Genomic DNA, 18,344 nt, shown 5'->3' with positions numbered 1-18,344 from the left:
CCATGATTTCTGATGAGAAAACAAACTGTACATACCTCAGTGCTAACTGGAGCACAAAGAAATAAAAGAAAATTAAAAAATAAGAAATATGATTAATTTAAAGATATAGACTAACAATACAACTGTTTGAATAAAATGCAATAAATTTAGGCATTAACATATGAGGAATTGGATCTAGAAGGTTTTAATGAGGGGTAAACCATTATCTGATCAGATCTAAGTATCATGAGTGGAAATCTAGTATCCTTTCCAAATTAAAATTTAAACATTTACTGTAAGTATTGCATTTAAGTCTTAACTCTATGAGGTAAATACCATAGTATTCACTTGTAGATATAGGAAAATTGAGACAGGGAGAGGTTAAATAAGGCACAGTGAGTATTTAGTACCTAAGGTATGTTTCTTGGTGCTGTATCTATACTTTTCCACTTTGCTATAGAATGTTCTCTGTCTGCCAGTACCATGGAAAGAATGGACCAGAAGCAGGCAGAACACAGCTTCACTAGTCCAGAGGATATATGATAGGAACATACAGTTGTTTACTAATGGAATTAAGACAAAGTGTTTAGCATAACTTTTAGATTTAGGGGCTGAATGGTTTCTAGTTCTGTCATTCTAAGATTTCAAAACTATTATCAATTTTGAGGGAAAAAAAGTCAAGACTCAAAAGCAAATAGGATACCCTTTATGGCAAAATGATGGCTAATAAGCGTTACTGTTGTTATAGTTATGAGCTCATAAAATGGCATGGTAATTCATCCTAGCACTCTTTCTAAATCTTAAACTAGCTTGTTAAACTGGTTTTCACACCCAAAAATTTTTTTAAAAATGCTATCAGTATCTGAGTGTTTTGTCTATTTTTCATAGTCAGCAATGTTATTCAACTAGATGAGCTTTAGAAAGACCAATTTTATAAATTTAGTTTTTAAAGTCCAGAAATTACATTTATGGATGCTTATTACATTCTAGTGACTTCAAAAGCATTATCTAACTTAATTCTCAAAACGTTCTAGACAGACAGATACCATTATTCCTGTTTCACAGTTAAAGATAATTTGTCAAGGTAATCTAAATAGAAAGCACTAAAGTTGGCATTCACATCTATTTAGTCTGCTTCCAGAATAGGCACATTTTGGCATGAAATGACATTGTCCAAGAAGAAGATCAAATAAATTTATAAAGCAAATAAACTGGTAGATCTTCAACATTTTGGGTTATATATAAATATACCACTTCTCAACTATTTTACTAAATCAGAGGTCTCAGTTTAGCCTGGTCTCAAGGAAGGAAATTCTGCAAGTTTGCAATGGTAATGAAGGGCATTTCTTTCAGACACAAACACACAGCAGCTAATGAAATTCAGATAATCTTATATGACCATAATAAAAATACTTCTGTGCCATACTTTTGTGTTCCGGTTGGTATGCTTCTTGAATAATACATATGGCCTGCAGTCAAAACCAGAACAAAATAGCATGTTGCGATAGTTTTTTTTTTTTAATTTTATTTTGCAGGACTTTTAAAAAAGACAAGAAGATAACAATAAACAGAAACCATGTAGAGAATCTCCATGTCAAAGGAAATCCATAAATCTTATTAAACTGGAAAATAATTTCAAAGTAAACATAACTGAATAACATATGACTTAGAAGCAACAGCTTGTTGGCCAACTATAGAAAATCATCAGGTTCATTTCAGTGTGTAGCTTGTGTTCCTACCGCAGAAAAAAGCGTGAACCAGATGGAATGTAACTATCAGTTAGGCCTGCAGGGTTTATATCCTGCTAAACTACTACTGCATTTTTTTTCTCCTTCCCCTTAGTGGATATCCAATATTTGAAATTTCAAGTATTCCAATTTCTTAAAATAGCCCTAGTATTTTAAAGTCAAAACTAAAGTAAGACTCTAAAAAATCTCAACCATGTCAATGATTTTTCAGTTTTATTATATGAAACTATTATGTATTTACTAACAGAAATAGAATAAGTTAGTTTATAAGCATGTAGTCAATATTGCACTTAGGGTAAACAAATGAACAAAACAAAAAAGTATCTAGATTGAACATGACTTCAGAGCTAACAAATACAACTAGATCTCATGAAGATATGAGATCAATATAGGGGCTTCTTGATATCAGAACAAATAAAATAAAATCAAGAAATAGCATTACAATTAATGTCTTAAATCAACATAAAAGAAAATAATTCAGCTAAGAAAATAGAAGAGCAAAGCAATGATCCCAATGGAATTCTTGTACCTGTAGGATGCTAAGCCAGTGACATTTTCTATCCAGAGGCAGCTTGAGTATTATTGCAAACTAAGCCAGAGGAAGAGCCACCCCACTGAGACTACAGAAAAGCAGGATCAATATTTTCTCTATTGAATAGTTTCAAATAACAGAAAGATTCCCAGAACACAGTTCATCCTCACCTCTAAAAATGAAATTAGAAACCCATTACAAAACCCAATTTGTCCATAATATCTCATTTATAGAACATAGCTGTGCTTTACTTTTCATGAGCAATGAATGGTCCAACTCTTTAAGACAGTATTGATGAGTGCTGGAAGGCAAACCACCTCTGCTTATAACATGTGCTTTACCAAAGGAAAGATAACATGCCTGCAGCTCTGCAGAATTGTGCTATTGTCATATATGTAGAAGTCGCCTGCTCTTAAAGAAAACGTGATGATTTACACTTAAAACACTGGGGCTTATCCTGTAAAATTGTGTGGTACTTAGCACATCTTACTGTCTCAAGGGTCCCTATAATGATGGTTCAGCTTAATGATTCACTGGTAGATCTCACAGGACTTAGAAGCTCTTATACTCACAGATATGGTTTATTGCAGTAAAAGGATACAGATCAAAATCAGCAAAGGAGATAGGCTCAAGGTCCAGGGGGAATCAGGTGCAAGTGTCCAGGTGTTCTCTCCCAGTGGAGTTGCATAGGATGTGCTTAATTGTCCCAGCAGTGATGTGGGACAACACATGTGAAGTAATGCCAATAGGGAAAGCTCACTCAAGCCTTGTTGTTCAGATATTTTTATTGAAGATTAGTCACATAGACATGCAGCACCCAAATCACTTAATTATTCAGATGCTAGCCCTCCAGCCCCAAAACTCACCCCTTATACAAGCAAAAATAAGCCTTCACCGTAAATCACATTATTAGGATAACTGCTACAGCAGAGTGACCCAAGGGATCAAACATTAAAAAAAAAAAGTTCCTGTAATGGCAGAATATTCCAAAGGCTCAGAGGTTATATCTCAGAAGCATGCCAGAGGCCAATCCTGAAGATAGGTCTTTCTTCAGAATGTGTAGGATTTAAGCAACCCAGGTCTGCTGAGTAGATTTTCCTGTTCACTTATACTCTATTACCATTGATTTCTTTGCAGTATATAAATATAATAATAATAAAATTTATTTATTCAACTTATATTGAAATTTAATGTTCTGATGACACGTAAAAATTCCAAACACATGTCCAGCTATTATTGTTACCAGGCTCATTATTATTGATTAGTCAATAAAAGCCAAATGAGTATGACTTCCTTACAGCATATAGAAAATACTTTACTGATATTAAACAATCATATATGAAAATAAATGGAGAAAATTCTGCTTGAGAATGAGCATTATTTGTACTATATATTGTCCAATTATAGAAGTATCAACCTGGTATTATGTTTTCTAATATTCCCAATAAACCCTATTGACATTGACCATATTTTACAATAGGGTATATTTTATGTGCATATATGGTGAGAGGCACACTGCATATGAAAATTATATGCAAAAATGATACTCACCATATTTTAAGTAATCTCTTTCTCAAAAGAGATAATGATTATAACTAGTATGTAAGCTTCATTTACCTCAGTGAAATACTGTGGTATTAGAGACACATCTCATTTTGTTTTTCTATTCTCAGTCTCCAGTACAGCCCTTGCCAAAAATGGCAAATACCGATAATGTGTTTTATTCAATTTGTAGGTGTGAATCTTTACATTGGGTGTTTTGTATATATTAGGTATTGAATAAATTCTTGGAAATTGTAGTGGACAGCTCTCAATAGAGGCTGTCTGCATTATTAGGAAGCTTTCCCTACATTTTGCTGGTTCACTTATGGTGAAATTAACGGTACACAATCCCACTATTGCATTGCCCAGCTGCCATTGCACCAAAGGGGAACACTCATTATATAGTTTTTGCTAATCAGACATACCTACATGAAGCTTAAATTTGGAATTAAGTTACATGGAGAAAGAGGCTACACTGTGAGACATTTATTTTGATAGTGTGAAATATGGTAGAGGGAGTGGGGTTCAAGAATTATCAGCCACATCAACAGCTTCCATATTCAGCAGCTTGCTGATTGTGGCAAAGGTGGAACAGTTGTGAGGCTAGCAGCTCTCAAGAGGCTTTCCTGATATTGGTGCTGCCTAATGGTAGAAGCAACTTTGTCAGGCTAGTTTGGAGTTATGGTAGTCATTCCTGGAAATGCTCCTGGAGTCTTTTTCTTTAGTCCTTCTGAAAATGTGATGAACAAGATAGTTTGACAATCTTTTTTTTCTTTTTTCTTTTTTTTTTTTTCAGACAGAGTCTCACTCTGTTGCCCAGGCTGGAGTGCAGTGACACAATCCTGGCTCGCTGCTGCAACCTCCACCTCCCAAGTTCAAGCGATCCTCCTACCTAAGCCTCCCAAGTAGCTGGGATTATAAGCACGTGCCACCATGCCCAGCTAATTTTTGTATTTTTAGTAGAGACAGAGTTTCACCTTGTTGGCCAGGCTGGTCTTGAACTCCTGGTCTCAAGTGATCTGCCTGCCTCGGCATCTCAAAGTGCTGGGATTACAGGTATGAGCCACCACATCCAGCCAACAATCTCTTTCTAAATAAACTAATTAAATTGAACATTCTGTTTCAAAAATAAAATGACAGAAGAGAAGAGTAGTATAGCTAAGAACTCTCCGGTAGTGGCATCATTGGGATACTATAACAAGTTCCAATTCTGCCACGAACTCTTATTTTTTGGGCAAGCTTTGACCCGTGTGACTCACCTTTCTCATCTCTAATAAATATTAACTTTCATAAAGCATTTTTCCTGAGATAATGCATGTTAAGCCTTTACTACATAGAATGACAAGAACCATGGCTACTGTTGCTGCTACTAATGCCACATCACCCAATCATCCAATTTCTTCATTATGTGCCATAAACATGAGGTAAGCATTTAGGCTTGGAAAGGTAAAAGTTGTTCTTCAAGCATTAGTTATAAATTACCCAATGTCTAATTAGAAAATATACTTGAAGTTGTTTGAATTTTGTAGGCAATATAAACAGATTTATTTTTCTTCTTCAGGCTCTATCCTGTGTGTCTCATTATTTTGAGGCAATCATGCTACTTACCATTTTTTAACAAATGATTGTTCTTGATTACGTTACTGGCATTTTGCAGCACTCACCTCAGTAAATCCAGTCTGGGGTGCATTCAATATCACTTACATATTCTCCTCCCCTCAAATTGCAAAATTGATCATCAACTCTTTGAATTTGTTTGTCAGTAAGATTTTCTCAAATATCTAAGGATGTAAAGAAAATTTACTAAATAATCTTTTTCCCAGCTGACTTAAAATATACATTGTTGATGAAGAGTATACTAACAGGTAAGAATCAGAAACACATATGTTTGTATGCATACCAGTGTATGTGTACAGTACACAAAACCACAGTTATTTAAGTGAGATGAGGGGGCAAATGGTACTGAACTAAATTATTTCTAAAGTCTGTTCCAATGCTGCTAGTCTAAAAGTCCATGAATCTGTGGAACAGGAAAATGGATAAAGTTAATTAGGAACAGTTTCCTGGTGAGCTTTGGGTTGGATATAAAGCAAAGAAGAGAGGCAGTAAGGCCAGCCAGCTGGAAAGGAAAGGGGCTACATATGGTGGCACATCAAAATAAGCATTTACATATTAAGCCCAGCCTGTGCTTCTTGAAGTCGTAGTATGCAAAGGCAGAGTTGTTCCTCTCCTAATAAAATATAAATATTAAGTAAGTTATTTTTGCTGCTCTAGTAAGTACTTTTATCATGCTCAGGAAAAGTTGCTTACTACTCATCACTCCCTTGCTTTGCTGACATTTCAGGGTGAATGCAATCATTTCATGGTTCACTCCTGGTTGCTTCACCCTGGCAGTGAACATTTGCACATTAACCGATGACAACGCATGCTGTTCCTCTCCAACTTTGTATATTTCACACTGGGAAATGCTATTGTATTATCATTTTCATTCATGCTACGCTAATAAGCATGTGAAGTATCAGCCGTGGTGTATACTTTTTTTTAATTGTTGTTCCAGAATTCTATTTCAGACTATTAAGCTAGCCTGTATAGACAGGAAAGTTTTCTTATGATAAGGAAAGTTGAATCAGACCCTTTCAAGAGCCTTTCATAGATGTGCTTAATATATGTGACTTCTTAATTGTGCAGCATTTGTTTATAGTACTTGCTATAAATGTTTAAATAACTTACCTGTAAATGGCAATGGTACTTCACTGAAAAAGAGATAAAAAGGCAGGATATTTGCTTTAAGAGAGTTCAGTTAAGCAGACTAATACAAATAAAAGCATATTTTCCCGTCTCTTCAGATGTATCATCACAAATTTATTCAAGTAACATAATTTGCAAGTTTTTTTAACTAATGGAAATAAACAGTCCTAAAAAGCCATTAACAAATTATAGACCAAATTAAGAGAGGAGAAAAAAATCTCTTGAGAATTAGTAAATTAGTAAAAATCAATAAATATAATGATAATCTTATTTGGCCTATACTTTTGCCAAAGCAACTATAAATTCTCATATTTCCACACATTATACAAGTGGTATATCCACCTGGAAAAATATAAAATTTAAACACAAATCAAAATGTTTACAAATGGTTGATGCAACACTGAGTGTAGGGGAGTGAATTTTATATTACTCCAATGATTTCTCTTTCCCCAAGCTTTCTCTGTCCATTTTAGAGAATTGCAAGAACTTGGATCTAGAATAAGTCTTAGCATTTAGATAGCCATATTTCAGAGGTTACAAAATTGATAATTTAAGGGACTTATTCAACACTACAACTAGAAGTTGTAAACTAAATAGGAGCAAAATCTCAAAGCCATTCAAGACATTTTTTATGGTGTAATTTTGGCTCCCAGGGTGAAACTACTCAAATTGCTATATTGTCCAGGAAAAAAAAAATTTACTCATAATTTTTCTTGAATAGGTTTTCTTTCTCTTATACAGTAAAAAAAAAAAAAAGTGCTGTTTATTTGCAAACTACACTATAGTTCTTAGTTACTGAATTGTTGATTTTTGTGTCTTATCATTATAAGCTGTGGTAAATCAAGATATAATTTGATCATAGAAGAGTTTGCTCTATGTAGTTTGCCAAGGACTATTAATCCTTGGCAAATTATTATAGCCATATTATTCCTTCCAGCCAAAAACACTGGGTCCTGTTTGAAAACAAATGTAGGTTGACACCTTAAGAACATAAAGCCAAAGTAAACAACTTAATCTAAATTTCTGTTGAGTTGGTAGCTTTATTAGCCATTAAAGTATAACAATATTACCACAAAATTAGAGACATAAAACAATATACATGAATTCTCTCACAGCTTCTGTGAATGAGGAGTCTGAGTATCCTCTGCTTTCAGGATCTCACAAAACTATTATCAGTTATCAGTCAGGGTTATGGTCCCTTCCGAGGCTCAAGTGAAGAATAGTTCATTTACATCCTTGCATAGTTGTTGGCGGCATTCAATTCTTTGTGGACTTGGACTGAGGGGCTCAGTTTCTTGCTGTCTGTCAGCGAGAGACGAAGGCTGCCCTCAGTTCTTGCTACATGGACCTTCCCAACATGGCTGCTTGCTTCCTAAAGCCAGGAAAGGAATGTGTCTCCTTGCAATGCTGGTGTTACAATGTAAGGTAACATAATTACCTTACAAATACAAATACATATTATGTATATGTAATTACATACACCAGTTTTACCTTTACCATATTCTATTGTTAGAAGCAAGTCACTGGTCCTGTCCACACTCAATGGATGGGAGTTTCATAAAGTAGCAGATGAATAATGCAACCAGAGAGATGAAAATTCTGATAAAGAATAAAAAGGAAATGCTAGAGATAAAAAATATAGTAACACAAATGACGAGTGCCTCTGATAGGCCTATCAGGAGACTGTACACCACTAAGAAAAGAATCTCTGAGCTTGAAGTTATGCCAGTGAAAATATCCAAAACTAAAAACCAAAGTGAAATAAGACTGAAAATAAAGCACCTAAAAATATCCAAGTATCACTGGACAACTGGAGATGGTATAACATACATGTAATAGAATACCAGAGAAGAAGAAATAAATGAACATTATTTCAAGTAATAATATCTGAAAAATGTTCTGCTTAATGTCAGACAAAACCACAGACCCAGAAAGTTTAGAGAACACCAAATAGTATAGATGACCAAACAACAAACAAACAAAACCACATAGGTATACAGTATTCAAACTGCAGAAAATCAAAAACATAGAAAAAAATCTTGAAAGTAGCCTGAGGAAAAAAACATCTTACCAATGGAGGAGTAAAGATAAGAATTATATTCACTTCTCCCCACATATCATGCAAGCAAGAAGAGAATGAGTGGAATATTTAAAATATTAAAAGAATAACAAAAACACCATCCTAGAATATTGTACCCTGTAAAATGAAGGAAAAATTCAGAATTTCTTTAAACAAAAATTGAGGGAATTTATTGCCAGTATAACTGCCTTGAAGAAATGTTAAAAGGAGTTCTTCAGGGAGAAGGAAAATGATATGAGTGAGAAACCATATCAACATAAAGGGAGCAAGGCCAACAGAAAATAAGTAAGTGAGGGTAAAATAAAACAGAAGATTGGACAGTTGTCTCAAACTCACAAGGAATATTCACCAAGAAAGCCCACATTCTGGGCCATAAAGCACATGGTGATAAATTGAAAAGAATAGAAATCACACAATGACTGCTCTCAGACCAGAATAAAATGTAACTGGAAATCAACAACAAAATGATAGCTAGAAACTCCCAAAATACTTGGAGATTAAACAAAGCACTTTTAAATAATATATAGTCAAAGAAGAAATATCAAGATGAATTTTTAAAAATTATGTTGAACTAAATATAAATGAAAATACAATGTATCAAAATATTAAAGTGTAGTATGCAGTAAAAGCAGTGCTTAGAAGAAAGTGTATATCATTGAATGTGTATATTAAAAAAGAAAAACTCTAAATCCAGTCATCTGAATTTCTACCTTAGGTAAATAGAAAAAGAAGATCAAATTATCTCCAAAATAAACTGATGAAAATAAATAATAAAAATTAGAGCAGAAATTAATAAAATTGAAACAGGAAATCAATAGAGAAAAATCAACAAAACCAAATCTATTTCTTTGAAAAGATCAATAAAATGGATAAGCCTCAAGCCACGCTAAGAAAAGAAGAAAAAAGGTGTAAATTGCAGTCATGTATCACATAACAATGTTTTGGTCAAAGATGAACCACATATACAATGATGATTCCATAAGATTATATCATATTTTTGTATCTTTTCTATGTTTAGATACACAAATACTTAACATTGTATTACAATTGCCTACAATATTCAGTACAGTAACATGATGTACAGGTTTGCAGCCTGGGAGCAATAGCCCATACAGCTAGGTGTATAGTAGGCTATACTGTCTAAGTCTGTGTAGGTAGTGTATGATATCCATACAATGATGAAATTGCCTAATGATTAATTTCTAAGAATACATTTCAGTTATTAAGCAATGCATGACTGTATAAGGCACCACACTCTGGCCTCTGTTACCTCTGACTTTATCTCATCTCACCCTCAACTAAGTCACCTAGTATTAGAAATTCTTGAAATTAATGTGATTATGGCAAGATTGCAAGATATAAGTTTAACATAAAAAGTCAATCACTTTCTTACATACTAGCAATGAACAACGAGCATTTGAATTTAAAAATAATTTGCCATCTTTATTAGCAGTACCAAAAATCAGGTACTAATGTATTAACATAACAAAATATGTGCAAGATCTATATGAATTGTAACAACACATTGTACCACATAAAATTTATATAGAATTATTACTTGTTAATTTAGAATAAAATGAAATTTTAAAAAGAAAAATATGAATTTTATACATTACACGTATGCTAAAAAGTGAATGTGTAAAATATGTTAATAAGCCTTGTGCTCACGGGTCTTTTGCTCAGCTGGGAAAAAGAATGTTTAGTTTCATTAAATGCATAACCAACGTTTACTATGATTAAAACATTAAATCACACAGAAAAAATCTATATAAGGAAAACTACAAAACTATAATAAATATATCAAATAAGTAAATAAAGGCACGGATATTTTATGTTCTTGGATATAAAGACTCAATGTTGCCAAGATGTCAGTTCTTACAAACTTGGCATATAGATTCAATGCAATCCCAATCAAAATCCCAGTGTTATTTTGTGGACATCAACAAACTAATTTTAAAATGTATATGGAAAGCAAAAAATCAAGAATAACCAACTTAATATTGAAGGAAAAGGCAGAGGACTGACATTATTCAAATTCAAGACTTACTATAAGCTCCAGGAGTAAAGACAATAATATATATGTTTCAAAGATAATATTTTCAACAAACGGTGTTAGAACAACACATTTAAAAAAAAATGAATCCAGATAAAGAACTTACAGCCTTCATGAAAACTAACTCAAAATAGATCACAGACCTAAATGTCTCTCACCCACTGCTGGTGGAAATGAAAAATAGTATAGCCACTTTGGCAGTTCCTTACCAAACTAAAGATACTCTGATGATATGATCCAGCAATCATGCTCTTTAGTAACCAAATACATTGAAAACATGTCTACACCAAAACCTGCACATGAATGTTGGTAGTAATTATTCAAAATTTCCCAAACTTGGAAGCAACCACGATGTCCTTCAGGAGGTGAATGAATAAATAAACTGCAGTACATCAGACAATGAATCTGATGGTTAATTTCATGTATTAATTTGACTAGATCATATGGTGCCCCAGATATTTGGTTAAAAATTCTTTCTGGGTGTGTCTGTGAGGGTGTTTCTGAATAAAATTAGCATTAAATTTGTGGACTATATAAAGCACATTAACATCGCCAATGTGAATGGGCATCATTCAATCCATTGAGGGTGTGAATAAAATTTAAAAAGCACAGAAAGGGAGAATTTCCACTCTCTATGCCTGCCTGATGGTGCTGGTACATTTGTCTCCTCCTACCCTTGGACTGGAACTTACACCATCAGTGCTCCCAGTCCTCAGGCCTTCAGACTCAGACTGTAACTGATACCAGCACTTCTGCTGGTTCTTAAGCCTTTGAATTCAGACTGACACTATACTACAGGATCTCTTGTGTCTCCAACTATAGATAATGGGACTTCTCAGTATATATTTAAAATCTCAGTATATATATACATACAGATATAGATATATAGATACAGTGGTTTTGGAACCAAAGGTGGCTTTAGCGTAACAAAATATTGAAAACGAGCTTTTTGAATTGATATTTGGGGTTTCCATAAACCCCAATATTCCATATTGGCTTCCTTTTCTGATTAAAGTTGAGATGCTATAATTATATTTCCAGTTGCAAAGAGGGCACTAATAGTTCATGGATATGAACTATTATATACAATATGGCAATAGAAATATGCCAAATCTCTATTTGATATTCCTAAGCAACTATGTACAAAAAGCCAGAAGCTAGAAAATGGTATATGATATTTTGAACATTTCTTTAAAAATCATGAATTTAATGAGATAGATCATTTTGTTGCTACTTATATGGCTGGACAAAGTGTCAAAGAAAAGAGTGAGCTCAGGGATACAAATTTCCAACTCAAGCACCACATAAATAACCTGAAAACTTCTATCATTGCTTTTAAACAGAGCCTTATCTCCTATAGACTTAGGGCTGAGTAGCTGAAAATCAAACACAAAATCTCATCTTCTAAGTGGTTAAATTACAATACAAGTTGAACTCACAGACTCACAAGATGTGTATTTTAACATGAGAGTACTTATTGAGCAAAAAAAAATGCTATCCTATAATTGCCACAGAGATGTGTTGGAAGACCTTGATGAAGCTGGAAACATTGAGCCCTAAATTCTGGTGAATCTTCTTTGTCAGTGTTAAAGAAGTCTTCTTTGTCAGTATAGGATTCTTTATATCAGTGGCTCTCCTCGTTCTCAGGCCTCTGGATTCAGGTTGAAATTATACCATGAGTTTTCCTGGGATTCTGGCTCGTACTGGTGGCAGATAATGGGACTTCTCAGCCTCCAGCTTCCATAACAACATTAATCATCTACGTATAATTGAGAGAGAAATAGAGACAGACAGAGAGAGAGAGAGAGAGAGGGAAAGGATTTGTAAATTGCAGAATATAATTGGTTCTGTTTCTCTGAAAGACAACAATTAATACAACGGAATATTATTAGGCATTAAAAAAATGAGCTATTAAGCCATGAAAAAACATAAAGGAAATGCAAATGTGTATTATTAAGTGAATATTAAGTTTTAAAAAAGCCGATCTGAAAAGACTACATACTGCATGATTCCAACTATATGAAATCTGGAAAAGTCTAAACTATGAATGTAATAAAAAAATAAGTGGTTGCCAAGGATTGGAGGGGGAGATAGATGAATAAGCAGAGCAAAGGGTATTTTTAGGGTAGTGAAACTATTCTGTACAATACTACAGTGGTGGATACATATCATTGTACATTTGTCAAACCCATAGGGTGTACAACATCAAGAGTAAACTCTAATATATGCTATGGGCTTTGAGTGATAATGATTTATAGATGTAGGCTCATTGTTTGTAACAAATGTATCACTCTGATGCAGGATGTCAACAGTGTACTTCCTCCTTCCAACCCATACACACAATAGTGAGGTTGAGACATGAAAAGTCTCTGTACTTTCTGGTCAATTTTGCTGTGAACTTAACATTACTCAAAAAATTAAGCTTTTTTTTTTTCACAGTGTTTTGACTGCACATCCATAATGAGATATATTCCAAGGACCTAAAGCACTGCAATAAATATTTGTAAATAGATTCAGTAATCACATTCTTGGTGGTAGGTTTGGGATAGTGATTCTAAAGCTAAGTGTGTATTTGTGGATGAAGGAAATGAATATTTCTCCATGCTAATGCAGTAATTGGGATGACCATTGTAACAGAAAGAAGATAAAATGTACAGTAAAATTTGTAAGGTTAAATAGAAGCATACGGTTCTGAATTTGAATATGAAGTATCAGTTTAAACCTATTTTATCTTTTAAAAAATATGTATTTTCTAACTCTGTCTGCTAAAAGGACCTATAAACAGTAACCAACTAATAGCAATGAGTAACTCTAGAACCCAAATTTCAGTCTATCAATACTACTTCCCCATAAATGGTTTGTTAGTATGATGGCTAGTTTTATGTATCAACTTGGCTAGTTTTATGTGTCAACTTGACTAGGCTGTAGTATCCAGTTTTTTAATTCAGTATTAATCTAGGTGTGCTGTAAATGTATTTTATAAATGTCATTAGCATACGCAAAAATTTGACTTAGTAGAGAAGACTATTCTGTCCTAAATAATCTGAGTACGCCTCACCCAGTCAGTTGTAAGGGCTTAATAGTAAAACTGAGAGGAAGAGGAAATTCTACCACTAGACTTCAGTATGAGCTCCTATCCAAGAGTTTCTGGCCTGCTGAGCTGCCCGTTGGTTCTTAGACTTGTCTAGTGAGTTCCCATAATCCTGTAAGTCAATTTCTTGCAAAAAGAAAAATCTCATATTTCACCACTTCAAAATTTAATGTGGCTAAGAGGAAATTTAAAATCAGCATGTGATTTACATTTGTGACTTACATTTTAACTCTCCCAGGTAATATTGATCTTTAGGCTCCTGTACCTCTTAGTTTTTTTCTGCAAGTTATTTGTTTGAAAAATTAGGTTGCTTGTCCTATATTTTACTGACTTGTTAAGAGTTACACAGCCTACATTTTACATATCATATTCTCAAGATTCAGCATATATTTTCCTATATATTTTATCTTCATTGGTGATTAGGGCTATAGACTTGGTCATATCCAGGCTTGATTTTGTTTGGCCATGAATATTTTATAGCTGTACTTCAATCAGAATTTGCATGATGTTGTGCTGCCTATGTCTTCATGATATTAGTAGCCATTGATGATAATTGCTTAGATACATTATTTTACTAGTGCTGCAAAATGGTGATATGATGACATAACTTTATAAGCCCTTTTTCATTTATTAGCTTGAATACTTTTAAAATGAGTAATAACTACCCATCAATTACATGAAGGTGCATTTCCCCAGTTTGTGGAAATTATATTCCAATGATATCTTTTGGCGAAACCTGAATGATTCTCATAACGGCTAAAGAAAATGACCCTATCAATGAAACTGCTTCCCCACATGTTACAAAAATATTAAGGGCAGATTTCAAATGTCACTGACAAAGAATTCCTGGCAATAGATTACAGTACATAAGAAACACACCCTGTAGAATCTCTACGGTTTGATTTAGTCCTACCAAAACCACTTGCAGATTCAATTATGCAGCACGCGGATACAGTACCAGGAAGAGCAGTCCTGAGAGATAATCTCATTCACATCCCATTAAAGCAATGAAGAAGGCTCTTGAGGAGCAACTAACATTTCAAGAGCTAGGGTCTGGGGCCCAAGGCGTGCATATGATTAAACCAACCCAGCTAGAAGCAATTATCTACAGATTACCTCAGGCATCCTCTGAGGATGAGTTGTTTCTGAGAGGACACAGTGTCATTCAATCTGAATTCAGTAATTACAACAATTCATTTGGAAGATAGAAATTTACCCTCTGCTTTACAGATTAAAGAAAACGAGCTTGCAAATGCCACCACTTCAAAAATATTCCAAGTCTCATCTATCATTTCTTTTTTAGAGACTTTCCAAACTTCAAAAGTACCCTAAGTCTGAAATATGCATACTGCTTAGATATATGAAGGCTTATAACTTTTGATCTAGAAACAACTTGTATGAACTGAACACAATTTAGGTATTTGGCACAGAAGAATGGGACTGTACAGAAGAAGGAGGGAGTATGTATTTATTTTTATTTTATTTTATTTCATTTATATTTTTTGAGATGGAGTTTCACTCTTGTCACCCAGACTGGAGTGCAATGGCATGATTTCGGCCCACTGCAACTTCTGCCTCCCAGGTTCAAGTGATTCTCCTGCCTCAGCTTCCCAAGTAGCTGGGATTACAGGCACCCACCGCCACACCTGGCTAATTTTTGTATTTTCAGTAGAGACGGGTTTCACTGTGTTGGCCAGGCTGCTCTTGAACTCCTGACCTCAGGTGATCCGCCTGCCTCTGCCCCACAAAGTGTGGGGATTACAGGCATGAGCCACTGTGCCCAGCCCTCATGAATTTATTAGATAGGCACTTATAGGTCCCTTTATATATGTCAGACAGTATGCTATAAAATAATAATAGAGAAGTAATAGAAAAACTCAGATTTGTAGTTACACTTAGATAAGAATGGTTCAGTGCCATAAATGCAATAAAAGCAGCGAACCTCTGTTAGTTTACTTGGCTACTATAGCAAAATACCATAAATTGGGTGGCTTATGAACAACAGAAATTTATTTCTTACAGTTCTGGAGACTGGGACATCCAAGGTCAATGTGCTGGCAGATTCAATGTCTGGTAAGTTCCCATTTTTCTGGATCATAGATGGCTGCTTTTTCTCAGTGTCTTCACAAGGTGGAAAAGATGAACAGACTCTTTTTGGCCTCTCGCTCTTATAAGGGCACCGATTGGATTCGTGAGGGCTCTGCCCTCATGACATAATCACCTCTGAAAAGTCCCACCTCATAATAACATTACCTTGAAGGTTACATTTCAAAATAAGAATTTTGGGGTAACAGAAGCATTCAAATCATAGCAGAACCTAACTCAGCCTGGGGCATGCTTGGGAAAACCATTCCAGGAGTGGCAACAATTGAGTTGATTATTGAGGATGATTAAGCATTAGTTCCAGAATATAGAGAGTTATTGAAAAGAAGGAGCATGTGTGAAACATTCTTACCTATGAAGTAGAATTTGTTTTGTTTTTGGCAGGGAGTTTTCATGTTATGTCTGTATGCCTTGGGTATATGGTAGAATTCTATGAGAAGTTAAGTTGGCAAAGGCCAGATTACAAAATAATTTAGGCATCAAGCATTGAAAAAGAAGTTAGAAGGTATCAAAATAAAATACAATCTCACTTACCACTACATTTAGTGGTGAAAGTCCACCCCTCTTTATCCTCCTCACATAATTGGTCATTAAATACTCCCTTAGTCATTTCTCTGTGGCCACAGAGACCTAGTCTTGAATAGTTAAGTAGCAGAAAGCTTGTTTCAATGTTGGTGACCTGACTGTACTCCAGGACTCTACTGTATGTGATCCTGTCTTGCCACTTGATGTTAATTATAGCCTGTAGCCCATGCAAATAAAACTGAGATTAAAACATGTGATTTGAATTACTTGGGCCAAATCTCACAATTTGAGGCTGTCACTGCTACCACTTCTCTATAAAGTATGAGCTTTGCTTCAATCTGAATTTTTAAACCTACCTTTAAAAATGCTGATCACAACAAAGAGCACTGCAGTTTGGCATATTTATCGGGAACACTGGAGTTCTTTGCTCATCTTCATTGAGCAAGCCATAGTAAGCAGAAGGAAAGGAAGTAAGGAAAGAAGGGAGGAAGGAAGGAAAGAAGGAAGGGAGGAGGGAAGGGAGGGAGGGAAGGGAGGGAGGGAGGAGGGTACCAAATTAACAGAATACATGTCAACATATCAATTAGTGTTTCTTCCCTGAGCAATGGCTGTACATTGACCCTGATTCTTTAGATAAGATTCTGCACATCAAACCATTGGATAAACTATAAACAATTGTGCAAGTATTAATTATTGAAATTTTTTAAAAAAAATTTCTTAATATTCTGCAATCTCCCACTTTACATAAATTTACCTCCAACTTAAATACCTCGGAAAATACATATTCTTGTCAACTGGCAATACTCTCTGTAAACCACTCCTGAAGGCAAAGAACACTCAACACTAAAACAGAGAATGAGTTATGATTAATAACAAGTTACCATAATAGTGGGGTAATCTGCTAAAACAAAATCTTATTTGCTTCTGTTATATATGTGTCCGCATGTGTGTGTACATTTTTATGTATATGTCTATGTGTGTGTACATGTGTTTCTTTATGGTGAGCCATGTGCCATAAAATCACTAATCTTGGTTTTGGAAATTTGACTTCTCTACCCACATGAGTTTCTTAAAATGTTCATAATTGGACGGATATTATGGAAACTGTATAGGTAGCACTTCAGGGATGTCCCGCTAACTCTTTAGCCTAAGGATATCATTATATTATAATTCTTTCTCCCTGAATCTCATAGTATCTTCATTCTCCCACATTCATGGAGATAAAATGTCAGGCTTTGCTCTTTCGTGGATCAGTCATGACCTTCTGTGGAAGCCTATACCATCCATTCCTTTGTAATTACTAGTTTAATCTCTAAACAACATGGATTCTGAGTAGAAATTCACCATTTCTTAATACAATATTCAGAATTTCTAAATTTCCCTAAGTCTTGCATACAAAGTGAGGGAAAAAATTATGTCCCATAGACAGTAACTTTTTTTCTGTCACCTTTCAGACAGAAAGGGGCAGAAAGCTTGCTTGAGAATCAAGTTTCTAACTCTGGTTTTGTTATCACCCAGGAAATCACTTAATTATATTGGGCTATAAATTTCTGATTTTTTCAATTATAAATTTATAATGCATAATTTTTGAAAATGCTTTTGGCTCAAAACTTATGTTAACTCTATGACTATGATATAATTGGACTGTCTACATCACTCAAATTTAATTTTTAACTTTTATTAAGTGAACATAAGTCCCTAGAAAAGGTTCTCTTATACAAGTTAACTTTAATAAATCCAAACTCAAACATTTACCAGCTGGATAAAAATTGATATGTGTAACACTGGAATACATAGAAATTTCAGCCTCATCTTCCAGCCTGGGCAGCCGAGATTGCAACACTGCACTCCAGCCTGGGTGACAGAGGGAGACTCTGTCTCAAAAAAAAAAAAAAAAAAAAAAAGAAAGAAAGAAAGAAAGAAAATTAAAGCTCAGTACAACG

At 34.5% G+C, this 18,344-nt stretch overlaps 1 long non-coding RNA gene across 1 annotated transcript; it reads right to left on the bottom strand.

Moving 5' to 3' along the window:
- Positions 1-12,344: 12,344 nt before the first annotated feature.
- LINC02797 (long intergenic non-protein coding RNA 2797) lies at positions 12,345-16,307 on the bottom strand. Its single transcript, XR_001737674.2, has 3 exons — positions 16,229-16,307; positions 15,794-15,894; positions 12,345-12,441 (listed from the first exon to the last, which is right to left on the bottom strand). It is a non-coding gene; the product is annotated as a long intergenic non-protein coding RNA 2797 (long non-coding RNA).
- Positions 16,308-18,344: the final 2,037 nt, after the last annotated feature.

The sequence above is a fragment of the Homo sapiens genome, chromosome 1 (genome assembly GCF_000001405.40).
Source record: "Homo sapiens chromosome 1, GRCh38.p14 Primary Assembly".
Lineage (NCBI taxonomy): Eukaryota > Metazoa > Chordata > Mammalia > Primates > Hominidae > Homo > Homo sapiens.
Note: the sequence above shows the minus strand (reverse complement) of the source record. Positions and strands in the feature narration are given on the sequence as shown.